This window comes from Homo sapiens, chromosome 20 (genome assembly GCF_000001405.40).
Source record: "Homo sapiens chromosome 20, GRCh38.p14 Primary Assembly".
NCBI lineage: Eukaryota > Metazoa > Chordata > Mammalia > Primates > Hominidae > Homo > Homo sapiens.
This window is the reverse complement of record NC_000020.11, coordinates 36,088,827-36,113,475: the sequence shown is the minus strand read 5'-3', so window position 1 is coordinate 36,113,475 and position 24,649 is coordinate 36,088,827. Positions and strand designations below refer to the sequence as shown.

The 24,649-nt window shown below is 51.0% G+C and overlaps 1 protein-coding gene across 13 annotated transcripts in view, besides 7 other annotated features; it reads right to left on the bottom strand.

Annotated features, from left to right (window-relative positions):
* EPB41L1 (erythrocyte membrane protein band 4.1 like 1) overlaps positions 1-22,062 on the bottom strand; it is a 141,386-nt gene extending 119,324 nt beyond the window's left edge. For 11 of the 13 annotated variants that reach the window (NM_001258330.1, XM_047439972.1, XM_047439975.1 and 8 more), the window contains exons 1-2: positions 20,663-20,766; positions 996-1,050 (exon numbers count right to left, since the gene is read on the bottom strand). The gene's annotated coding sequence lies outside the window, so the exon portion shown is untranslated. Of the gene's footprint in view, positions 1-995; positions 1,051-20,662; positions 20,767-21,863 lie in introns of those variants that run through there. The other 2 variants (NM_001258331.2, NM_001258329.1) reach the window with 2 other exon arrangements.
* Positions 200-699: an enhancer, noted in NCBI's record as "H3K4me1 hESC enhancer chr20:34700699-34701198 (GRCh37/hg19 assembly coordinates)". NCBI's record gives its function as "activates a minimal SCP1, AML or CMV promoter by ChIP-STARR-seq in primed H9 embryonic stem cells {active_cell/tissue: H9 hESC(primed)}" and the evidence as "EXISTENCE:reporter gene assay evidence [ECO:0000049][PMID:30033119]".
* Positions 15,240-15,748: an enhancer, noted in NCBI's record as "NANOG hESC enhancer chr20:34685650-34686158 (GRCh37/hg19 assembly coordinates)". NCBI's record gives its function as "activates a minimal SCP1, AML or CMV promoter by ChIP-STARR-seq in naive H9 embryonic stem cells {active_cell/tissue: H9 hESC(naive)}" and the evidence as "EXISTENCE:reporter gene assay evidence [ECO:0000049][PMID:30033119]".
* Positions 17,612-18,113: an enhancer, noted in NCBI's record as "H3K4me1 hESC enhancer chr20:34683285-34683786 (GRCh37/hg19 assembly coordinates)". NCBI's record gives its function as "activates a minimal SCP1, AML or CMV promoter by ChIP-STARR-seq in naive H9 embryonic stem cells {active_cell/tissue: H9 hESC(naive)}" and the evidence as "EXISTENCE:reporter gene assay evidence [ECO:0000049][PMID:30033119]".
* Positions 19,242-20,193: an enhancer, noted in NCBI's record as "H3K27ac-H3K4me1 hESC enhancer chr20:34681205-34682156 (GRCh37/hg19 assembly coordinates)". NCBI's record gives its function as "activates a minimal SCP1, AML or CMV promoter by ChIP-STARR-seq in naive H9 embryonic stem cells {active_cell/tissue: H9 hESC(naive)}" and the evidence as "EXISTENCE:reporter gene assay evidence [ECO:0000049][PMID:30033119]".
* Positions 19,685-19,894: a silencer, noted in NCBI's record as "silent region_12868". NCBI's record gives its function as "represses an Ori minimal core promoter by ATAC-STARR-seq in GM12878 lymphoblastoid cells {active_cell/tissue: GM12878}" and the evidence as "EXISTENCE:reporter gene assay evidence [ECO:0000049][PMID:35858748]".
* Positions 20,615-20,764: a silencer, noted in NCBI's record as "silent region_12867". NCBI's record gives its function as "represses an Ori minimal core promoter by ATAC-STARR-seq in GM12878 lymphoblastoid cells {active_cell/tissue: GM12878}" and the evidence as "EXISTENCE:reporter gene assay evidence [ECO:0000049][PMID:35858748]".
* Positions 21,148-22,100: an enhancer, noted in NCBI's record as "NANOG-H3K27ac-H3K4me1 hESC enhancer chr20:34679298-34680250 (GRCh37/hg19 assembly coordinates)". NCBI's record gives its function as "activates a minimal SCP1, AML or CMV promoter by ChIP-STARR-seq in naive H9 embryonic stem cells {active_cell/tissue: H9 hESC(naive)}" and the evidence as "EXISTENCE:reporter gene assay evidence [ECO:0000049][PMID:30033119]".

Genomic DNA, 24,649 nt, shown 5'->3' with positions numbered 1-24,649 from the left:
ACAGGTGCACACACATGTGTACACACACACACACACACACACACACACACACACACACACACACACAAATGGAAAGTTTCCCTAGGGGTACAAAGATACTTCACATTGAACCAAAATTAAAAACCAGAGGACTCCAGAATGACAACATCACAGCCCTGGCAATTGTGCCTTACTAATAACATCACAGTGACATTTGCATGTTACTTCGAAATTTCCCAATCAATGTAACTCCATTGGCTGAGTTCCCTCTCTACTCCCTCGCCCTGCCAGAATCACAGCACCTCCAAGTTGGGAAGAAGCTTTGACACGCCCCGGGCCAGTGGTTTCCAAAGTGTCTTCCATAAAGCCAAGAAAAGGTCAGTTGCATTGTCTGGGGGCTGAGGAATTGGCCAGCCCCACGCCAACTCCAACCCACACTGCAACCCCTTTAGCTGTTTTGTACATTGAGATTCTTTGGGGTGCAATGGAAAAAGGAGAGTTCCCTGCTGGAAAGTTTGAAAACAAGTCATTTAGTCTGACCCTACTTTCCCCCATCCCCTGATCCACCAATGTTGATGTGACCCTGAGGCCAGTAGAAAGGAAGGTCATGTAGTAGTCAACGGGCAGGGCCAGGATGAAAGCACTCTCTCCTGAATCTAGTCTACGACCTAGGAGTGGTGAAGCAAAGGCAGGCAAGGGCCACGGGGCAGCTTCCAGGCCCAGCACCGTCCTTCACCAGCCACGGTGGCATGGATGAGCAATAGAGGCAAAGCCTGTTTTTGAATACAGAGCTTGATGAATATGCATTTCAGCCCCTAACCCAAAACAAGCCAAAACCAGGGAGGGTCCCCAGCATGGCCCCCGTTTTCAGCGCCACCAGAAACAGGTGGCGTAGACAAAGCCTCACACTTCCCCAGCAGTCAAATATGTCAAAAATCGAGAGGCCGAGGGCCTGGAAGACCTCTTCGTCCAACCTCAGCAGAAGGAGAATAAGTCTGTGCCTCCAGAACACTCACCCCTCCTCTGTCCACACCAGCTCCCCGGGGGCAAGAACTTCTGTCAGTCAGGCACCTAGAGGGAGGAAACAGCGTTAGCTCCTCAGAACAGGAGTTCATGAGCCCAGCATGTGCTGGAAATTGAGAGGCTGGCATTTGACTCTCTGAGGCACCTTAGGGAAGTTGCTGAACCTGTTAAACAAAAAGGCCTTGTGACAAGGCGGAAAGCAAAATAGAAAGTAACAAATATGCACCTGAAGCGGCAGCAGGGGCCAGGCAGCGAAGGACCTTGGAGGCCAAGGAGAAGATTCGCTCTTTATTGTAAGAGCAAAGAGAAACCACTGGCTTACAGGGTAGAGGATGGAAGAGGGGCAGGGGAAGCTGCAGGAACATCAGTTAGGAGGTTGTTGTGATTATCCAGCGGAGATATGATGAGGGCCTAAGCTAGGGTGGTTGCAGAAGAGACAGAAAGAGGTGGACAGACTCAAGAGGTATTTAAAAGGTGGTATCCCCAGAACTTGCTGGTGGACTAGATGTATGGGGAGAAGGGAGAGCAGGGGCCCCAACCTCCAGATGCCTCCTCAGGTGCCATGGTTATACCCCCTGCTGTCCACTTGGCCTTTCCTTGCTTCAGTGTCCCCATCTGTGAAATAAATATGGTTGGAATCAGTGATCCCTCGGAGTCTTTTCTTTTCTCTTTTTTTTTTTTTTTTTTGAGACAGAGTCTCGCTCTGTCGCCCAGGCTGGAGTGCAATGGTGCGATCTCTGCTCACTGCAACCTCCGCATCCCAGGTTCAAACGATTCTCCTATCTCAGTCTCCCAAGTAGCTGGGATTACAGGCGTGCGCCACAACGCCCGGCTAATTTTTTGTATTTTTAGTAGAGACGAGGTTTTACCATGTTGGCCAAGCTGGTTTCAAACTCCTGACCTCAAGTGATCCACCCACCTCGGCCTCCCAAAGTGCTAGGATTACAGGCATGAGCCACCATGCCCGGCCTCCCTCGGGGTCTTTTTAGCATTCACATCCTGTTCTGGTGTAATTCACTCAAAGTATGTAAGTACTTTTCTCAATCTTCTTTGAGCTCCAACCACAGGTCAGGCTTAGTATGCAATGGGGCAGGAGACTTGGAGGGAGAAGCTACAGGCACCCTGGACTCACACACTCAGAACAGTCAGTCTCCAGGTGGGATGAGGTGTTCCTACTTCATGTAAAATGTGAAACTCAGGTGAACAGGAAGAACACACAGTGGTTTATGAGCTTAGGCTCTGGAGTAACTCAGACCTGTTTGAATTCTGGTTCTAACACTTACTACTTATGTGGCCCAGGGCAAGTCACTTTACTTCCTCATTTGGAAAATAGGAGTAAAAGTGTCTGCTCCCAGGGCTAATGGGGGGACTAAATGAGATGATGCCTGTGAACAGCTCAGCAAGGTGCCTTATCACAACTGTCCAAAAGGTAGCAGCACCATTCAAAGATGGGGAAACTGAGACCTAGAAGGATGAAATGACTCACTGAAGACCAGGCAGTGAATAAGTGGCAGAGCTGAGACCCCTACACTGCGGCTGGGGTCTGGAGCCCAGCTAAACCACTAGGTTGTACACATACCATTCCCGTTCCTGCTTTTCAAATGAGGAAGTTGAGGTCAAAAAAGAACAAGTGACTTGCCCAAGGTCACAGAGAGAATCAGACATAGAAGAAGGATTTGAACTCAGGCCTCCTTGATGAAAAAGCCCATGGTCTCTCCGTGGATATCCAGAAAGTAGATATGTGTGGATAGTCTTCAAATTTCAGGGTCCTTTAAACCTGGAATAGGGACAAATGCAAATTGAGGCCAATGGTGTGTGTGTGTGTGTGTGTGTGTGTGTGTGTGTGTGTGTAAAGCAAACTGAGGCCAATGGGATGTGAGAGTGTGTGTGTGTAACAAATGCAAACTGGGGCCAATGGGTGTGAGTGTGTGTGTGTGTGCACATGTGTGTAGCTACCTTGAGAGGAAACCAGGAGGAGCTGATGAAACAAAAGCCTCTTTCTCAGAAGCCCTCTCTGGGGACTGGGCAGGAGAGAAGGGCACTGACAAGCAGGGCCATCCATCCTGCTGGGGCTGAGCTGAAGCCTGGATCTAAGCAAACAGAATCAGCTCCAGCTTGGCCACCAACTTGCTATGTGATCAGCAGTTCTCTCTCTCTTTCTCCCTCTTGCTCTGTCTCTCTCATCTCTGTTTCTTCGACTTCAGAATGAGACCGTTGTACTAAACAATGTCAAGGCCGGGCATGGTGGCTTATGCCTGTAATCCCAGCACTTTGGGAGGCCGAGGCGGGCGGATCACCTGAGGTGGGGAGTTCGAGACCAGCCTGACCAACATGGAGAAACCCCGTCTCTACTAAAAATATAAAATTAGCCAGGCATGGTGGCATATGTCTGTAATCCCAGCTACTAGGGAGGCTAAGGCAGGAGAATCGCTTGAACCCAGGAGGCAGAGGTCGCGGTGAGCCGAGATTGCGCCATTGCACTCCAGGCTGGGCAACAAGAGCGAAACTCCGTCTCAAGAAAAAAAAAAAAAAAAACAATGTCAAGATCCTTTCCAGTTATAGAAGACTAATAATAACCATTGCTTACAAGCTCTGGATTTCTGGTCAGGTGCTGCTCCTGCAACCTCGAATGGTGGCATTAGCTGGCTCCAATACCACCACGACAGGGGCAGAATGTCCTGCATTCAGGTTCCGGCTGTGTAGCCAGGTCACTTTCCCTTCACAGGCCTCAGCTTCCTCATCTGTAAAATGGAATTTATCTTTGCCTGATCACTTGCAGAAAGGAATATCCAAGGAGCTACCTGAAAACCAAGCAATCTCTTGAGGTATCATACAAAGCAGCCCCAAATCCCCATCCCAACTCCCACCCTCAAGCTATTTTAACTTCTTCCCCTCTGGCCAATGTCCCCTTGAGGCACATGGAATAACTGAATATGAGCTGCTGGATGCAACAGTACTGTCGTGGCAACAGCCCCCGCACTAACAGTAGTAGCAATCACCACACAGCAAATACTTGACTGCTTAGGCATGCCAGGCACTGTGCTAAATACTCACTTGGATTATTTCTCAGGCCATCCCCTCAACCACCATTAGTCTCAGTTTGCAGATGAAAGGCTCAAGTTCAGCAAAGAGAATTGCCCAAGGTCACACACAGAGCAAGTGAAGGGCGTGGCCAGGATGAGGACCCAGACCAAGGTTTTTCATTTGCCATCAGAAGCCCTGAACTCGGCCGGGTGCAGTGGCTCACACCTGTAATCCCAGCACTTTGGGAGGCCGAGGCAGGCGGATCATGACGTCAGGAGATTGAGACCATCCTGGCTAACACGGTGAAACCCCGTCTCTACTAAAAATACAAAAAAAAAATTAGCCGGGCGTGGTGGCAGGCGCCTGTAGTCCCAGCTATTCGGGAGGCTGAGGTGAGAGAGTGGTGTGAATCCAGGAGGCGGAGCTTGCAGTGAGCCAAGATCGCACCACTGCACTCCAGTCTGGGCAACAGAGCGAGACTCCATCTCAAAAAAAAAAAAAAGAAGCCCTGAACTCATCCTCAAGGCTATGGGGCTGTCCAGGGTAACATTCCACCAAGGGGCAAGGCCCGGGCTGGGGTGAGGTGGGGAATATCTGTCCTTCATTGACCTCCCAACCTTCCCCAAATAACTAGTCTTTATGTAGTCTTCTGTTATTAATCAAATGTGCCCAACTCAACTCTGTCTACAATAGTGTTGTCAAATAGAAATACAATGCGAGCCACATATGTAATTTAAAAGTGTATAGTAGCTACATTTTATTTTATTTTATTTTTTGAGTCAGAGTCTCGTTCTCTCACCCAGGCTGGAGTGCAGTGGCACGATCTTGGCTCACTGCAGCCTCTGCCTCCCAGGTTCAAGCAATTCTCATGCCTCAGCTTCCCAAATAGCTGGGGTTACAGGTGCGCACCTCCATGCTTGGCTAATTTTTGCATTTTCAGTAGAGACAGGTTTCCCCATGTTGCCCAGGCTGGTCTCGAACTCCTGGTCTCAAGCGATCCGCCTGCCTCAGCCTCCCAAAGTGCTGGGATTACAGGTGTGAGCCATCGTGCCTGGCCTTAGTACCTACATTTTAAAAAGCACAAAGGAATGAGGGAAATTAATTTTCATAATATATTCATTTAACCCAATATATCTATCTCAACATGTAATCAATGTAAAAAATACTATAGGCCCAGCACGGTGGTTCATGCCTGTAATCCCCACACTTTGGGAGGCTGAGGTGGAAGGACCTCTTGAAACCAGGAGTTCAAGACCAGCCTGGCCAACATAGCAAGACCTTGTCTCTACAAAAAATAAAAAAATTTAGCTGGGTGAGGTGACACATTCCTAAAGTCCCAGCTACTAGCTGAGGTGGGAGGATCTCTTAAGTCCAGGAGTTCAAGGGTTGCAGTGAGCTATGATCATGCCACTCACTCCAGCCTGTGCAACAGAGTGAGAACCTGCCTCTAAAAAAAAAAATTAAAACTAAAATTAAAAAGACTATAGAGATATTTTACATTTTTTAATACATCCTCTTCTAAATCCAGTGTGTATTTTATACTTACAACACATCTTGATTCAGATGCTAAATATTCATAAGATATTTAGCTTCTCCTTGCCTTTACAATTTTTTTTTTTTTAAGATGGAGTCTCACTCTGTCGCCCAGGCTAGAGTGCAGTGGTGTGATCTCAGCTCACTGCAATCTCCACCTCCCAGGTTCCAGCAATTCTCCTGCCTCAGCCTCCTGAGTAGCTGGAATTACAGGCACGTGCACCACGCCTGGCTAATTTTTGTATTTTTAGTAGAGACGGGGGTTTCACATGCTGGCCAGGCTGGTCTCGAACTCCTGACGTCAAGTGATCTGCCCACCTCGGCCTCCCAAAGGGCTGGGATTACAGGCATGAGGCACCATGCCCAGCCGCCTTTATGATTTAAAAAAAAAAAAAAAAAGCCGGGCACGGTGGCTCACACCTGTAATCCCAGCACTTTGGGAGGCCAAGGCAGGTGGATCATGAGGTCAGGAGTTCAAGACTAGCCTGACCAATATGATGAAACCCCATCTCTACTAAAAATACAAAAATTAGCCGGGTATGGTGGTGTGCATCTGTAATCCCAGCTACTCAGGAGGCTGAGGCAGGAGAATTGCTCGAAGCCGGGAGACGGAGGTTGCAGTGAGCTGAGATCATGCCATTGCACTCCAGCCTGGGCAACAGAGCGAAAGCGAGAGTCCTTCTCAAAAAAAAAAAAAAAAAAAAAGGTATATTCTCAAATCTAAGTTTCCAAACACGCATAGTTTGTCAATAAATGAAGGGAGCATTCTTTTAAAATGTTAAATTAGTTAAAATCAAATAAAATTAAATATTAAATAAAATTTAAAATTTGGCTGGGCTTGGTGGCTCATGCCTGAAATCCTTTGGGATTACTTTGCCTGAGCTCAGGAGTTTGAGACCAGCCCAGACAACATGGCGAAACCCCATCTCTACTAAAAATACAAAAAATTAGCCAAGCATGGTGGGGCATGCCTGTAATCCCAACTATTCCAGAGGCTGAGGAAGGAGAATCGCTTGAGCCTGGGAGGCAGACGTTGCAATGATTGTGCCACTGCACTCCAGCCTGGGCGACAGAGTTCAAAAGGTCAGTTCCTTGGTGGCACTAGCCACATTTTACATGTCCACTAGCCACATGTGACTAATGGCTGCTGTATAGGGCAGCTGCAGCTCTGCAGTCAAGTCCTTGAGGGCCTGGGCTGATGACCTCCTTGGCCCTAGCCCAGAGCTAAGCCTCGAAGGTAAAGTTGACTTACCTCTGTGAGCTTACCTCTGAATAGAATGGTATCTACTCATTCAACAAAACCCTACTGAACCTAAAATTAATATTTACCTCTGGTGCCCACACAGTGATGGTGACAATGGGATCTGAGTACCCAGTGTCCTTCACTGACCCCTCAAACCTCCCCAAAATAGGAACTCCTGTAGTGTTCAGAGGATGAGGCTGTGGCTCACAGAGGTAAGTCACCTGCGCAAAGTCACCCAGCTTTGACTAGGCCTGCTGACTTGGAACCCTGAGCTCTGTCCCTAAACTTTGGCAGGGGCCTACCCCGAGGCTCAGCCTTCTAGAAGTAATAAGCCTTTGCCACTATTCTCAGGGTGCCCAAATCTCCCAGTCTTTTGGCAGAGAATGGCCCAGAATAAGAAACTCAATGAAGAGGACAAAAGGGAAGGAGAGCGGAACGGCATGGCATGGGCTGCACAGGCAGTGGTCCTGTGTGCAGGGCTTAGGCCACTGTGGCACCATCCTTAGTTCCCCCACCCACACCCAGCAGGAGGCAAAGCCAGCAAGGTCCACTGGCTGCCTGGCCTCTGGACGGGTCTCCAGGGCTAGGCACCCTGCCCTCCCCCACACCTCCCCTAAGAGCACTCACCCAGAGGCCCTTGGACTAAGGCCAGAGCCAGTGCTCACCTCCCAGGGTCACCTTAGCTGGAGGCAGGGGAAAGGGCCAGGTGGCAGCCTGCCCCCTGGGGAGGAGGGGAGGAGAGGGCCCTGGAAGCAGATTCCAGAATAGGGAAAAGGTGGCAGGTACCAGCCAGAAAAACCTGGGTGACTCCACCCCTCCCCTGGGGTGCAGCCCCCCTCCCACCAGCCCAGGAGAGTGAAACTCTCACCAGCTATTAGGTTTAACAATTAACTCTGACTGGTTTTCATTTCAGCAGGAGGTAGTTCCAACAAGAACCATCTGGGGCTAGGGGCATTTGCAAGGGGATAGAGGCTGAGAAGAGGGAGGGGCTCATGTAAAGGGAGAGAGAAGTGGCCAGTGGCCCCCTCCCCTCCTTCTTCCCATCACTCCCTGGCAATGTGGGATAGCCCTCTGTGCCAAGAAGCGATGGCATAAGTTCCATGAAATCAAGGGCAGTGCCTGGCACATAATAGGTGCTCAATAAATATTTTTCATCAACAAATTAAGGGGGGTGGGTAAAGTAGAAGAAAACAGGCCCGCTCAATGGGCAGATTGATGGAGAAGAAGTGAAAGGAAGCAAAAGATGACTTGCCCTGGGCTGAGTACCTCCTTGACCCCTTTGACCCCAGGACCTCACAAGAACTGGAATGGCTGCCACCCAGGGCATGCCAGAGACATGGCTCTGAAGTCCTCCAGCCCTGGATGCCACTCCTGACTCCATTCTTCCTAGCTCTGACCTTGGAAGCCCTGGTTTCTTCCCCTGCAATGGAGGTGATACCACTACAGTCCAGGGCTGTACAGTGCCAGGCCCACAGACGCTAGGGTGCCTGTTCTGTTCTCATACAGTCATGTCTCTTGCTGCTTGGCAACAGCCTCCTCTTCTCAAGCCACCCCCTGATTTCCCCCACATCCCAATATTCCCCTGGTTCCCACCTATGTGGCCCTTTCTCCTTTTCCGGAAGGAAAGCCTGGAATGATGACGGCTCCGGCCCACTCACATCCCACTCACCTGGGATCACGCACACACCCTAGCAACAGACTGCTCCCAGCTTAACGTTTGCTTGTCATGTACATCCTTCATGGGTTCCCTGGCCCCCTCCTCACCCTAACACAGGCCTAGGTCCATCCAGAGTGCGCACAGCCCATCCAGAGCGCGCGAGGCCAGTTCACTCGGTGTTCTTGGGTGCCATCTCCTCCTCCCAGGCCTCTGCTTCCCACCTGCATAGCGTGGCATGAGGGAGGTGGATTCAGAGATCACTTCTGCTGGTGGGCTCTGACATATAGAGATTCTGACATTTCTGGAGTCATTTCATGCTTTAACTTCAGACATCAATGTTCAAATCCCAATCTTGGCCAGATAAACAGGCAGCCCTGCAGAAGCCCGGAACTGAAGCCCACTTGCCACCATTCTTAGCACAAGCCTGGGCAGAGAGGGACAATGTCCCCCCACCTCCCTGGTCCCCACTCTCTCTGCCATAAAGCCTCACTTTTCTACCCCATCTTCCCGGCAGTCTCTCTCTTACTCTCAATGGCGGCATCATGAGTCATCACTCCCCCAAATTCTTCTTGGCAAAACAAAGCTTGAAGTTCCTGCTCCATCCGGGGTGCCGACCCTATGCCCCTTCTGCAGGGAAATTCTAACTCTGCTTCCGCTCTGCTCTTTCCCGCCTCCTTCCTGAAACTCTCCAAATATGCACCCCACTTCCCCATTCTCCACAGGGAATATGGGTCTCCTCCCAGCCTGTCATTGCCCTTCCTACTTCATGCCCTTCTGGCTCAAATGTCACCTCTAGCCTGTTGTCACCTCTACACTAATGACTCCCCCCTCAACTCACTCAGCCACATCTCTGCCAGACACTGACTTCTTGTACTAGAGTCTTACTGCCTCATTTGACCTTAAGACCCTGGAGACCAAGGAACTCCTGTTATTATTATTTTTTTGTCTCTCACCCTGGCCCCCGCAGCACAATGCTCAGAACGTAGTAGATGTTTGTTGAAACAATGGTAATAATGCCGGGGCGGTGGCTCACGCCTGTAATCCCAGCACTTTGGGAGGCCGAGGCGGGCAGATCATGAGGTCAGGAGATCGAGACCATCCTGGCTAACACGGTGAAACCCTGTCTCTACTAAAAATCCAAAAATAATTAGCCAGGCATGGTGGCGGGCGCCTGTAGTCCCAGCTACTCAGGAGGCTGAGGCAGGAGAATGGCGTGAACCCAGAAGGTGGAGCTTGTAGTGAGCTGGATCACGCCACTGCACTCCAGCCTGGGCGACAGAGTGAGACTCTGTCTCAAAAAAAAAAAAAAAAAGAAAGAAAAAGAAACAATGGTAATAACTATTAACCAAAAAATAATAACTCATAATCATTTATTAGCTATTTGTTCTTTACAATGCTTTTATCAGCATTTTACACAAAGCACTTCAGTTAATTCACCCAAGCCCCCAGTAGACTTGTCATCCCTACCTCTTTGTTTTAAACTGAGAAAATTAAGGCTCGGAGAGAGGAAGTGATCTGCTCAAGGTCACACAGCCCAGAAATGGCAGAATCAAGATCGGAATTTAAGTTCTTATTGCCCTACTTGGCCTCCCTCCAATCCACAAATAGAGGGAGGGGCCCTGTGAGAAACCATGGCCTGCCAGTGACATGGGCCATAGGGGCTGTAAAGAGGCCAGCTCAGCCCAGAGCTGGAGGCAGATTCTGCAAACTTAGTAAGCCTCAATTAAGAACTTGTTCTGTGCACAGCCCCATGCTAGGTGCTGGGAAGCAAAGAATAAGACATAAGGCATCCCAGTGCTCACAACCCGGTGAAAGCCACCTCCCTGGATAAAGCTAAGACCAAAAAGAACTCATCCCCCAGAGGGGAACAGATAAGGTACTAAGGGAGTGCAGAGGAGTTAAAGACAAATTTCATCTTGGAGTGAGGGGGAGGGCTTACAAGGCTTTGTAGGACATAGGCTGGCATCTGAGCTGAGCCTTGAAAAGGCAGACAGGATTTCAACAGTGATTGGGGAATGGAGGGGGTGGCATTCTTGGCAGGGAGGAACAGAGGGAGCTAGGGCAAAGACATAGGAAGCACTGGGTGTGTCCCAGGAGCCTCAGGAAATTAGTTTTCGCAGCCCTCCCCTTGGCACTGACCCACATGTCCAGCTCTGAACAGAGGTCACCTTGAGCTTCCCCAGATTCACAGGCACCTTGCTCAATTATGGTGAGTGGGGACGGAAAGGGAGAAAGGACTTGAGCATTTGGGCATGTGGTCAGACAGAAGGGACTCAAGGGGCCAGAATGCAGGCTGTGTCCAGAATCTCTGAAGATGGAAGATGCAAAAGTGGGAGGTCCCCCCAGTGGTGGGTGAAGCCAGGGAGGAGCAAGGAAAAGGACAAAGAACTTGGACTGGGCAGCAGGAGACCTGACTTCCAGAACCACAGATCAAAGCTGCATGGAAACTTGGGATTATCCTGTCCAACCCCCATTTTACAGCTAGGAAAACTGAGGCCCAGACAGAGGGACAGGTCTACAGTCCCTGACCACCTTCACAGCAAAGCCAGTAATGTGCTGAGAGGCATGAGAGACCAGCCCTCTCCACCCAGCTCTGCCATTGGCTCCCTGGTGACCTTTCTCTAGACGTTAGGCTCCAACTGCGCAAAACAACCCTGAAGACAGCAGTTCTAAAGTTGTATGGGTTGTGACTCCAAGACAGACGGTGCCTGTGGATCCTCTCCTAGGGACAATGCACACTCTTAACATTGTGCATGCCATATTTCAGAAGTTCATGAACATCTGAGGCCAGCCTTCTACAAGGGCAATCTGAGAACCATCTGTGTCCCAATCATCTCGATGGGGAGACTGTTACAGCAGGCTGCTTCCGGGGCCCTACCTCGGATCTGACGCCCACCCCCCACCCCGCCCATGGAGCAGCTGGGTTTGAATCTCTTGGGTGAGGTCTGGAAAAAGAGTGCTGGGTTTTTTTGTTTTTTTTGTTTTGTTTTGTTTTGTTTTGTTTTGTTTTTTGAGACAGAGTCTCACTCTGTCACACAGGCTGGAGTGCAATGGTGTGATCTCAGCTCACTGCAACCTCCGCCTCCCAGGTTCAAGCGATTCTCCTGCCTCATCTTCCCTAGTAGCTGGGATTACAGGTGCATGCAGCCATGCCCAGCTAATTTTTGTATTTTTAGTAGAGACAGGGTTTCACCATGTCAGGCTGGTCTCGAACCCCTGACCTCAGGTGATCCACCTGCCTCAGCCTCCCAAAGTGCTGGGATTACAGGCATGAGCCATGGCACACAGGTTTTGTTTTGTTTTATTTTGCTTTTTAGCATGCTCACCTTTGTTGCTCTTAGGGGGAAACAAAGTTTGAGAGGCCCAGCCTTAGGGAACCCTAGGAGGGAGGGGAATGGGGTGGGGTGCTAAGCTGCTCCCCCTTTTAGGTGTTTCACAAATTGAACTTCTGCTCCCTTGCCTATGAAGAGTGGCTCTGTGGATAGAAGTTTCAAAGCCACCACTCCTTCACCAAGGTCCCTTCTGACTGAGCCACCTGCTCAGGCAGGCAGGTGGCTGGGCTGAGCCAGGCTGACCAACATAATGGTCTCGGTTGGGGTGGGTGGAGGCTCAACAAGCTGACTGCAGCTGCCCAGATTCCTGAGTGACAGTCTGAGACCAGCAGCCCTGACTGGGAGGGAGTCTGGACTCCCGGGCTGCACATGGGGTGAGAGCAGGTTTCCTATTCCTCCCTCTCTCCAGGCCACCTCCCTCTGGCCCTCAGGCCAGCTCCTTTTTTTCTTCTGGTGGATATGTACCTCTGAACCTGGGTCTCCTGGCTCCGGTCTCTGCCTCCCTCCCCACTTCTTCCAGAGTTCCACCCGTCACTGAGCCTGCAGCATATCCAAGCTCCCAAGCAGTCTTGTGAGGAGACAAAAGTAATGCTCTTTGCAAATGATATGCTTCTTTAAGTGGAAGACTCGATTCAATGAAAAATTGAGGTGGCCAGAGACAAAACAATAACTAGGAAAAAAGGCAAGTACCTTCAGATGGGCCCTGTCACCACCCCCCATACCGATGCAGTGTCTCTCCTACAGGTGGGCAGCTGCCTAGAACCAGATGGGCTCAGAGCCTTGGCGGGCCCCAAGGCTGATGCTGTAGAAAGGCCAGTCCCGGAGGTGCTGCCAGAGTGCAGGCCTGGGAGGGAAGATTCCTCGATTGGAAGCCCTTCTTTCAGAGTCAAGAATTTGTTCTCTGAATTTGAGCAAATGCATGCCCCTCTGTGGACACCTAAATGCTCCCGCAGGCTCTGTCACAGGCCATATAGGAAAGACTCAAGAGTACCGGTGGGCTTCGGACAGATCTAGATTGAAATCCCAGCTGTGCCACTTGCTGGCTGAGGACTGCGTAGGCCTTGGGCAAGTTATTTAGCCTCCTGTAATACGACGGGGATCATCATCTCTGCCTCACTTGGTAGTTGTAAGGATTAAAAGACATAAGGCATGTAAAGCGCTTAGCACAGGGCCTGGCACACAGTAAGCCAATAAACATAAGCAGTTGATTATAAGTCACCAGAGTGAGCCTCTTATGAGGAAGACTCTAGACTTTCTAATTCTAGGTGGCCTCAAGCAAACCCAAAACCACCCACCTGAAGTGGGCCTGGAGACTCTATCTTTAGACCTCTAATCTGGGGACAAGGTGGGGAGAGGGAAGGGGAGAAAGCAGACAGAAGGGAGAGAGCAAACTGAGAAGAGGAGGGAGGAAAGGAAAGAAGAATCAAGGGGCCAAGGAGGGGCCTGGCTTCCCCAGTGTGGGGGGAAAGGAAGATGACTTGCCAGAAACTACCAGGACAGTATAAGCCCTCTCTCTTTCCCAGAGCTTTCCCTAGACCCACCAAGGCAAGGCTTAGAGGGACAGGACCTGCTGAGAAATGCCACCCTGGCTGTCAACAGGGACACTGAAGCCTTGGGTTACATCTAGACTCCAGAGCCCCGCATGGTGGCCCTCCCACCAGAGTAGGCAGAGATGGCCATAGCCAGAGTGATAACAGAACAACCGGCCCATTCAGCCTGCTCACTCAGAGCCCAGGGACCCCTTTCTTGGGGTTCTAATCCTGACAGCAGGACACTCTCCTGTTGCATCCTCACCTCTGGAACATATGCAGAGCCCACTCCAGGCCTCTATCTGCCCTGAGCTCCTGCTTCTGGGCCTAAAGTTGCAACTAGGGAAAAAGCACTGTTCAGACTGAAGACAGGAGCCACAGATAAGGTGTTCCAATTACCACTGACCAGCTGTGTGACTTTGCGGGTGTCACTTTTTCTCCCTGAGCATGTTTCCCTCCTCAGGCTAATAAGGGCAACGGCAAGGACCATCTCTAAGGTCCTCCCAACTCAGACAGAGGCGACACTTCATGGGATGCCTCTGAGCACAAACAGGCAAAGAGGACCTGTCTCAGGAGAGGAGCGGGCTGGGCTGGGCTGGGCTCTGAGGAGAATGCAGCGGATATGACAATGGCCAAGGGTTATTATGATGATTATTATTATAATTAAAAATCACAGCTACAAGCCCTTAAGCAATTTACAAAGAGCTTTCTCATTATCTCCTGGGATCGCAATTTGGTGAAGTAGGCAGGGCTGGATGATGATTATTCACATTTGATAGATGAGGAAAGTAAAGCAAGATTAGGTGACTTGTCCAAGCTCCTAAGTGCAGAGAAGGGAGAGCTGGAAAGGAAGTAGGTATTGAGTGCCTACTGTGTACTACCTCATTAGGCATGCTCATATCTGTTATTTTGATCAAGTCTCATGACCATGACACTACTGTAGGTGCTACTGTCCCATTTCTTTGTTTTGTTTTGTTTTGTTTTTTCGAGACGGAGTCTTGCTCTGTCACCCAGGCTAGAGTGCAGTGGCACAATCTCAGCTCACTGCAATGTCCGCCTCCCAGGTTCAAGCAATTCTCCTGTCTCAGCCTCCCGAGTAGCTGGGATTACAGGTGCCCGCCACCACGCCTGGCTAATTTTTGTATTTTTAGTAGAGACAGCGTTTCACCATGTTGGCCAGGCTGGTCTCAAACTCCTGACCTCAGGAATAATCCGCCTCAGATCACTCAAATTTGAAATACAAATCTGATCAGATGATCTGCCCACCTCGGCCTCCCAAAGTGCTGGGATTACAGGCGTGAGCAACCATGCCTGGCCTACTGTCTCCATTTCATAGAGGCTCCACTGCAAAGCCTAAATTTGGATGTAGCCCTGTGGAACTAAAAGGCATGCACTCCTCCCCAACTTCCTGCATGTATTGGGTTGAACAGTGTCCCCTCCCAACCCAAATTTATGTCTACCTAAAACTTCATAATGTGACCATATTTGGAAACAGGGTCTTTGCAGATGCAATTACTCAAGTTCAAATGAGGTCATACTGGACTAGGGTGGGTTCTAAATCCCATATGACTGGTGTCCTTAGAAGAGGAAATGAAACAGAGAGAAAGCCACGTGACGACAGAGGCAGATGCAGCTGCAAGCCAAGAAATGCCAAAGATTGCTGGCAACCACCAGAAGCTAGGAGAAAGGCAGGAAACAGATTGCCCCAGAGCCTCCAGAAGGAGCCAACCTTGCTGACACCTGGATTTCAGACTTCTAGCCTCCACAAGTGGGGGAGTAAATGTCTGTGGTTCAAAGCTACCTGGTTTGCGTGCTTCATGACAGCACCCCTAGGAAGTTAATACACTGTGCATCCTTTGAGTAGCAGACCTAGGACCCTCAAACTCTGTTTTTCAGATTCCCACTCATTAGGCAGCTTTAGAGGTTAAAGAGGACCCAGAGGCTCCTCATGAGAAGTCACTCTCACCTCTCCTGCACCTTCCAGGGCCAGGCTGTCGTGAAACCAGGCTGAAGACAGGCTTACAGAGGAAAAAGCTTCCTAGAACAGCCTGTTCTAGGTATCTATCCACCCCAGTGGGGCCTCCCATTGAGCTTGTTTAGCAGCCTCTGTGCCCAGGTCTCCAGGTCAACAGTCCTTCCCTTCCTCCCAGACCAACCATCCTCTGTCACCACCTGGAGAGCTGTGTTTTTGAAATGCAAATCTGATCCTTCCTGGTTGGCTTACTCCTCTTCCCCAGCTCCCTGCCGTCTGCAGGACTTGCTCAGGCTCTTTGGCCTGCACCAGATCTGTCCCTAATCTTCCTCTCAGCTTTATCTCCAGTCATTCACTCCTCCACCCTCATCCCTGCCACTCACCACCTCCTATTCCAACCATGTGGAACTATTTGGGGTTCCCCTAAGAAGCCGTTCTGCCTTTGCACATGCTATTTCAAATACCCAGACGGTAAAATCCAGCCCAAACACCATCTCTGTCCTCCAGGAAGCCTTTTCCTCCATAAACAGCCACACCCTGGCAGCTTGTACATTGTCCTTGCGGTGGTATTGCATCTTTACATGTCTGCTCCCACCCCCAACCTGTGAATACTGCTGGATTCATTTCTGTTTTTGTAGGCCTAGGGCCCAATACAAAGGCCTTCAAGAATGTTGAGCTGAATTGTGGAGTAGCAATAATGGTCATAATAGTTGACATTTATCAAATGTTTCTTATGCACTCACATTATGCTAAGCATTCCAAGGATGTTATCTCATTTAATTATCAAAACAATCCTGTGAAACAGATACTAGTACTGGTCCTGTTTTACAAGTAAGGAAATGAGGAAATGGAATCACTTGCCCTAGTCCCCCCAGCTAGTACATGGCAAGCCCCGAATGACTGTAGAGCCAGTGCTAGTAACCACTACTAAGTGTGCCACCCATCCCAATACCTTCATTTTACAGAGATGGACACGTGCCAAAAGGGGAAAGTGATTGGCCCTCAGTCACATAACAAGGCATGGACGCAGATATTTGGATTCCTCTTTCAATACTTTTCCTCTTCTCATTCCAGTACAAACCTAATCCAGGAAGACACAGAACCCAAGCTAGGCTGTGTCTCCTGAGGAGCCTCCTCCTGCCTCCACTAGAGCAGAGCCCAGCATGGGCCTGGACCCACGGTGAGTGCTCAAATCTACAGCCAGGAGATGGGAGATGCAGCATTGAAAAAGACAGGTAAATCAACTTGAGAAAAGGCTGAAGCCTGCTTGGATTACACATTGTCAGGGCTTGAAACGAAACTTTGGGTATCATTTAGTGCCATCTGCCATTTTATAAATTAACTCAGTTTGACAAGCTTATTGAACACAAATCATAAGTCAGGCACTGTGTGGGACACTAAGAAGATTAGTAAGCAAGTTCCTGCCCACATGGCATTTACAGTCTAGTAAAGGGACAAACAACAATTACAAATTCTCACAAGCCCTGTGAGACACAGAGAGCTCTAAGAATGTGTAACAGGGAAAATTGACTTGGCCTAGAGAGTTGGCAAAGGCCCCCCTGAGAAAGTGACTATTGAGCTGAAACATGAAGAGTGGGAGTTAATCAAGATAAGAAGCAGGGGAAGAGTGTGCTAGACAAAGGGAACAGGATGTGCAAAATCCCAGAAGCAAAAGAGCTCATGGTGCCTAGATGAACTAAAAGGCCAAAGTGGCTGTTGTCCAGAGAAGTGGGCAGGAACTGGATCCTGAAGGGCCTTAGAGATCAAAGTAAGAATTGGAGAAACTGAGCAGATCAGGGAAACCCCTCGCTCAGAACCTGGTCCACAGCACACTGTCAAAGAGTCATTGCATTAGTCACTGAAGGAGAGACTTGTCCAAGATCATAAGACCTGGGACTTGAAAGCAGAATTCCTACCTACCAGGTGGGGCCTGAGTGCTATTTCAGGCACCTGTGTGAGGGACAGGGGAGGCTTTCCAAGTGTTTCAATTAATAGATGTTTCCTGGCTCCCTGTCTCCACCTCTCTTGAGCTCCAGAGTAAATAAGAATTACCTGTGTTTGTTAAAACATAGATTGCTGGGCCACACCTCCAGAGTTATCAATTCCTAGGTCTGGCGTGAGAACCAAGAAATTGCATTTCTTTTTTTTTTTTTTCCCTGAGATGGAGTCTCGCTCTGTCACCCAGGCTGGTGCGCAGTGATGCAATCTCAGCTCACTGCAACCTCCGCCTCCTGGGTTCAAGCGATTCTCCTGCCTCAGCCTCCTTAGTAGCTGGGATTACAGGCGCGTGCCACCATGCCCGGCTAAATTTTGTATTTTTACCATATTGGCCAGGCTGCTCTCGAACTCCTGACCTCAGGTGATCCATTCGCCTCGCCTCCCAAAGTGCTGGGATTACAGGCGTGAGCCACCACGCCCTGCCAATAAATTGCATTTCTAACAAACTCCCAGGTAACCCTGCTGCTGTTGGTGAGGTGAAAAAACCACAGCTCTAGACTAGAGTATATTGGTGGGGAGATTAGTAGTGAGGACCATGGCCAGGATCTCTGGGGACTAGAAGGGTGGATTCCTGAACCTGGGTAACAACGAGACAAACTCTAGCAATCTGAGCAAGGGAAGGGTCATCAAAGTCCCAAAATCTAGCCCACTAGCTGCCTAGCCAGGTAAACCAAGGCTTAGGGAGTTTAGACCCTTTCACATAAAGAAGCTTAATAAAAAGTGTTGGGTGAAGAGATAAACACATGAAGGGGTTGGCTAAAGTCAAAAGAAGATCCCAGGCTGGGCGCAGCGGCTCATGCCTGTAATCCCAGCACTTTGGGAGGCGGAGGCAGGCAGATCCCTTGAGGTCAGGAGTTTGAGACCAGCCTGACCAACATGGTGAAACCCTGTCTCTACTAAAAATACAAAAATTAGGCCGAGCACGGTGGCTCATGCCTGTAATCCCAGCACTTTGGGAGGCCGAGGCGGGTGGATCACCTGAGGTCAGGAGTTCAAAGCCTGCTTGGCCAACATGGCAAAACCCTGTCCCTACTAAAAATACAAAAATTAGTCGGGCGTGGTGGTGGGTGCCTGTAATCCCAGCTACTTGGGAGGCTGAGGAAGAAGAATTGCTTGAACCCAGGAGGAGGAGGTTGCAGTGAGCCGAGATCATGCCATTGCACTCCAGCCTAGGCGACAAGAGTGAAACTCTGTCTCAAAAAAGAAAAAAAAAAAAATTAGCTGGGCGTGGTGGCTCATTCCTATAGTCCCAGCTATTGAGGAGGCTGAGGCGGGAGAATCACTTGAACCCAGGAGGCGGAGGCTGCAGTGAGCTGAGATCGTGACACTGCCTACACTCCAGTCTCGGTGACAGAACAAGGCAAAAGATCTCTGGCCCAGACTCCAGAGCTCATGAACTCCAGGCCAGCTTTTCCCATGTCCCGGGATTCTGGGATTCAAGGAGGGGACAGAAAGCTCAGCTTTCCCCAGCCTCTGCTGCTTTTGGCAGGGAAACATTTTTAAGAATTGCAGAAATCTGCTGCTGGCCCCCAATCCTATCACCCATCCACCTTCCTTCCTTTTACACTCCCAGCTCCCTCCCTTTGCACTCCAAATCCTGTGTCCTGTATCTTGGCAAGCCAAGCAGCAAAGGGGGATGTGACGTTACGGGGAAGAACTGGAACTAATGGAAGAATTCTTGCACTTGGATATCCTTCTCTCTGAACAATTTCTTCCTCCTATAAGACTCTACTTCTCTCTACCCTTGTATCACAGTCAAAATCCAACCTACCTACATTTCAGTACCGGTATCTGAAACCCACAAAGCCACAGACTAAATTCCCAAACTTCCTTTTCACGCAGTTTTTCAAAAATGGCGTGGCCCGGTACAGAATGTTTCTCTTCTATTCCATTTGGCAGCAAAATGCCACTTCTCTGCAAACCCACATGCACAGACTAATATACAAACAACTACACATACATAAAAACAAATATACCAGAACCTATAAAAACACACACACATATACATCAAGAGATACATTTTCACTGTTCACTATACACCCAAATGTACAAGAAGTACACAGGGAGGACACATGCACACAGACTACAGATCTAGAAATGCCTGTATGCACCAGTACTTGGAGAAAGGGGTATGGACATACCCAGAGACATCTCTTTCAAAGTAGAGAGGTCTCCTGAGGAGGGATTCCCTGGAGTGAGGAGCTGGCCCTTTAAGAGAGTGGTTCTCCCTCCTAGTCCTTTTCAGGGCACCTGAGCTTCTACCCACCTACCTTCCCACCCACCCAGAGCCCTGCACGGGTGAGACTGGCACAGGCTAGGTCTGGTGGGGGGCTGGGGGGAGGCCGGAGGGGACATGTCCCCTGGCCACAACAGGAAATGAATCCCTGAACCGGCTGGTCACCAGCCTGGAAACTGCTGTTGCTACCACCACCACCCCGCACCCACACCCACATCCACACACGCGCGCGCACGCATACACATACACACACACACACACGCACGCACGCACGCACACGGGCTTCAAGCAGGACACGCCCTCCTCTCCAGCTCAGGTCAGAACGCGGGCTCTGCTGTCAGCCCAGTTCCCCCGACCCCCGGGGTGTGGCCGCCCACCTGCCAGCAGGGAGTCTCTGCCCGACGGGGAAGGGACACCCCCGCCGCCGCCACCCACCGCCCAGGCCAGGTGCCCAGCTCCCAGCGGCGGCGGCGCCTGGACCGCCGCCCCCACCGCTTCCTCCCGGCAGTGCGAAGACAAAGCCGCGCACACGCACACGGGGGCTACGCGGGAGCACACCCGCACTCACACGCGCACACACGGGAGTTACACTGGCGCGCACACAGCGACGCGCGCGCACACACACACCCACACCCGCCACAGGCTGCAGCCACAAGCGAAGCCACTGGCACACGCCCTCACCCAGAGGTGTACACACTGCTACACATTCGGACACACCCTCTCACAGATACATTCACCGACAGACACACGCAGACACACGCACCCTCACCCAGATACGCACGCACCACTCGCGAAGACACGCAAGGCACACACCCTCACACACGCACACACAGATGCACACCCGGCGCACACACGCACGCGCGCGCACACCGAGCAGCCGCTCGCACGGATCCACGGGCACACGCGCGCTCACACCTAACACACACCCAGAGACTGGAGCCCCGACACACAAACCCGCGACAGTCCCCACACACACGAACCGAAGCCCGCGGCTCCTGGAGCCGGCCCGCCGGCCTGTCAGTGCCCAAAGATCGGGAATCGAGCCCGCCGCCCTCGGCGGCCACCCCACACGCACACGCGGGACCCGACGCGGCGGGGTCCCCGGGACGCGGAGGGGGACGGCGGGTGCGGCTAACCTGGCGGCGGCGGCGCGGCTTCCGGGAGCTGTCTGGCTCGCGGTCCTGGTGTCCGGCGGCTGCCCCGGCGGGCTCCGAGGCGCGCTAGAGCTGCGCAGAAATGCCCCGCTCTCTCGCGCGCTCGCTCCTGCTCTCCCTCCCACGGCGCTCAGCCCCCTCCTCGCCCGCCCCCCACACCCCCTCTCGCCGCTCCGCCCCGCCCCGGCCGGCTCCCCCGGAGGAGGCGGCGGCGATCCCGGCCCCCCAAGCAGCAGCGGGCGGGCGAACGAGCAAGCAGCGGCGGCGAGCAGCCAACACCAGGGGAGCGCCGGAGCCGCCGGAGCCGCCGGAGCTGGGGCCGCGCGCCGGTCCCGGGGAGGGGAGCAGAGGAAGGGGCTGAGCCCCGCGAACCCTCCCGGCGCTGGGGACCCGCCGCCGGCTTCCCCACGTGGGCCCGGCGTCAACCTGAGCTGCGGCGGGCTCAGAGGCCGGGCGAAGAAGAGGAGCAGACCCCACCCGGGGCCCCCACGTCCTCCCGGGTTCCCGCCAGCGCCGACCTCGATTTTCCCTAGCTTAGACTTCTCGGCTCTGTGCCCGGTGCCCCGGGGTAACCCCGCGGCCCCGCGCCCAGCTCGCCGACCTCGTCTACCTCCAGCCAGGACCTGGCCCACGCCCACCCTTTTCCACGCCGCGCTCCCATTGTTCCCGCGGCCAGGGCTCGCGGAGGATAGCCCAGTGCGTTCCAGCCCCTCGCAGGTGGCAACCTCTGGACTCTCTGGGGACTCTCCAAGGGCTGAGTCCCTGGCTCTGGGATCCCGACGCCCACCCTCCACAAGCCCAAACACCCCCAAAGTAATGGGCTTTTCTAAATTAGGGTTATAACCACCACGGCCCGTATAGGCGCTCCTTTAGGTCCTTCTTGGAGTACACACTGAGGCTAGGAGAGAGGAGGAACTAACCCGTGTTCAGCGAGCCCAAGATAGCATCTGAAAGAAGATGGGGCAGGGATGAAGTGTCTGCCTTCTATAGATAAAGAAAGGAATTCCTGCCCTAGGGCTCCTGGGGCAGGGCCAGGCCCTCCAGAAGTGCCCGGAATAATGAGCCTGAGCCTCCTTTGTTAGATGCTAAAGGAAGAAACAGGGAAGATGCAAATGTCATTCACTTGCCAGGGTTTTACTGGAAGTCAAGACATGCAAAGGCCTGCTAAGTAGCTTTCACCTACTTGTCTCACTTAAGTGGCAGCTGGGATTATCCCCATTTTGCAGATCAGGAGCCTATCCTAGGTCTCCCCTCCAGGCAGCACAGAGCCAAGATGAAGCCCAACAATTCTGGTTCTTCACTGTGGTCCATGCCTCAGGTATAGGATACTAAGAGCAGGTGCAAAGTGAGCAGCTGAGAACATAAGAAAGCAGGAAGGAGAGGCAGGGCTTGGGCCTCCAAGGACTTACACAAACTAAGGGAGGGCAAAACTAAGGAACTGAGGCCCCAAAGCAGGACTGAACATGGCTTGTCCAGGAAGGAAGATTATGATTAACAATAAGAACTGATAATAACTCACCGGTTAGGAACACTTACTATATTTATTGTTCTAAGATCTTTATTTGCATTAATTCGTTTAATTCTCACAATAACATTAGAGGTTATTCTTATTCCCACATTATGCATGCTGAAACAGAAACACAAAGACATCACATAGCTTCTAAAGTGGCAGAGCTAGGATCCAAACTTGGGAAGCTGACTCCCAAGCTTCCGTTTTTTTTTTTTTTCTTTTTGAGAGAGACTTTCACTCTGTCACCCAGGCTGTAGTGCAGTGGTACGATCTTGGCTCACTGCAACCTCCACCTCCTGGGTTCAAGTGATTCTCCTGCCTCAGCCTCCTGAGTAGCTGGGATTACAGGTGTATGCCACCACATCCAGCTAATTTTTGTATTTTTAGTACAGACAGGGTTTCACCATGTTGGCCAGGCTGGTCTCAAACTCTTGGACTCAAGTGATCCGCCTGCCTCGGCCTCCCAAAGCACTGGGATTACAGGTGTGTGCCACCGTGCCCAGCCCCAAGCTTCCACTTTTAACAACCACAAAACAGACAGAAGAGGCAGCCTTGAATGGGAAGCAAAGACATTTGAACTACTAGAGCACCCAACTCAGCAGGACTCTTTTTTTTTTTTAATTGATGTCTTCTGACTTCCTTGTAGGTACCTGGTACCCAGCACAGCACCTAGGATATAGGCCTAATTTGTTAAATGACTGCACAACTGCCGCATGGGACTGGAGAGCAGGGTGTCACATAGAGGGCTCGATTGCAAGCCTCTCTGTTCTGCTGGGTATTTTTATCAGTTGGTTTTAGATGAAGCAGAGGAAGGTATGAAACGTTGATCAAATCTACTGTTGTCATGAGGTTGGGAGGGAAAATGAAGACTCCGGAAACCAGAATCAGTTTCTTAAAGCTCTCAGCAGTTTTGGAGGCTGAGCTGGAACTCTCAAGATGACGTGCCTCAGATTGTAAGTATAAACTCCTGCTCTTAGGTCCAAACCAGAGCAGTCCCACAGAACTTTCCATGATGATGGAAATGTCCTGAATCTTTGCTGTCTGATACAGTGGCTACTAGCCCTCTGTGGCTATTGAGCACTTGAAGCGTGGCTAGTCCAACTGAGGAAATGCAAAATAATAATTGTATTTAATTTTAAGTACTTTAAATTTGAATGGCCACAATGGCTGCCATATTGGACAGTGCCCTTCCAAATGAGCAAGTGCCCCAAATACAGTGTAGAAAGAATCTCAATCAACAGTAATTACAGTGAAAGTGACTTAAAGGTTTTAGTTGACCTCAAGCTCAACAATGCAACGTGCTGCCAAAAAGAAAGAAAGGAAGGGAGAAAAGGAGTAAAGAAGAGAGAGAGGGAGGGAGGGAGGGAGGAGGGAACAAAGAGAAGGAGGAAGGAGAAAGCGAAGAAAGGAAGGAGGAGAAAGTGAATATGAATATTCTATCAACGGAAACCAGAGTTGAGGCCAGGCGCAGTGTCTCATGCCTGTAATCCAAGCACTTTGGGAGGCCGAGGCAGGCGGGCAGATCACCTGAGGTCAGGAGTTTGAGATCAGCATGGCCAACATGGTGAAACCCTGTCTCTACTAAAAATACAAAATTGACCGGGCACAGTGGCTCACACCTGTAATCCCAGCACTTTGGGAGGCCGAGGCAGGCGGATCACGAGGTCAGGACTTCGAGACCAATCTGGCCAATATGGTGAATCCCTGTCTCTACTAAAGATACAAAAAAAAAAAAAAAAAAAATAGCCAGTTGTGGTGGCACGTGCCTTTAATCCCAGCTACTCAGGAGGCTGAGGCAGGAGAACTGGTTGAACCCAGGAGGTGGAGGTTGCAGTGAGCCGAGATCGTGCCATTGCATTCCAGCCTGGGCAACAGGGTGAGACTCTGTCTCAAAAAAAAAAAATACAAAATTAGCCAGGCGTGGTGGCGCACTCCTGTAATCCCAGCTACTCGGGCGGCTGAGGCAGGAGAATCCCTTGAATCCAGGAGGCGGAGGTTGCAGTGAGCCAAAATCACACCACGGCACTCCAGCATGGACAACAAGAGTGAGACCCCGTCTCAAAAAAAAAAAAAAAAAAGTTGGGCCAGCTCTGCCCTAGATGGATCACAGCTGGACCACCAAGCTCATTTGTGAGCCCCATATTCTTAGGGGGACTGGAGCATGTCTACAGGAGACCGGAACGTAGAGGACCTGGACGCCATGCTGTATGATGAATGATTTAAATAGCTTGGAGAAGGGAAAGCACAGAGTAGACATGGTGACTATCTCCACACCTCTGAAGGACTATCATACAGAAAGAGGATTTGCTTTGTTTCCTTTCGTTTAGGTCTAATCAACAAAACAAAAAATTCTGCATTAGCAAACTCCTAGGCCACCCTCTCTGAGGGAAGGATCCATATCAAATTTATATGCTGTTCTCCTCAGCACCTAGTCCATCCAGGACCTGGTTCCTATGAAA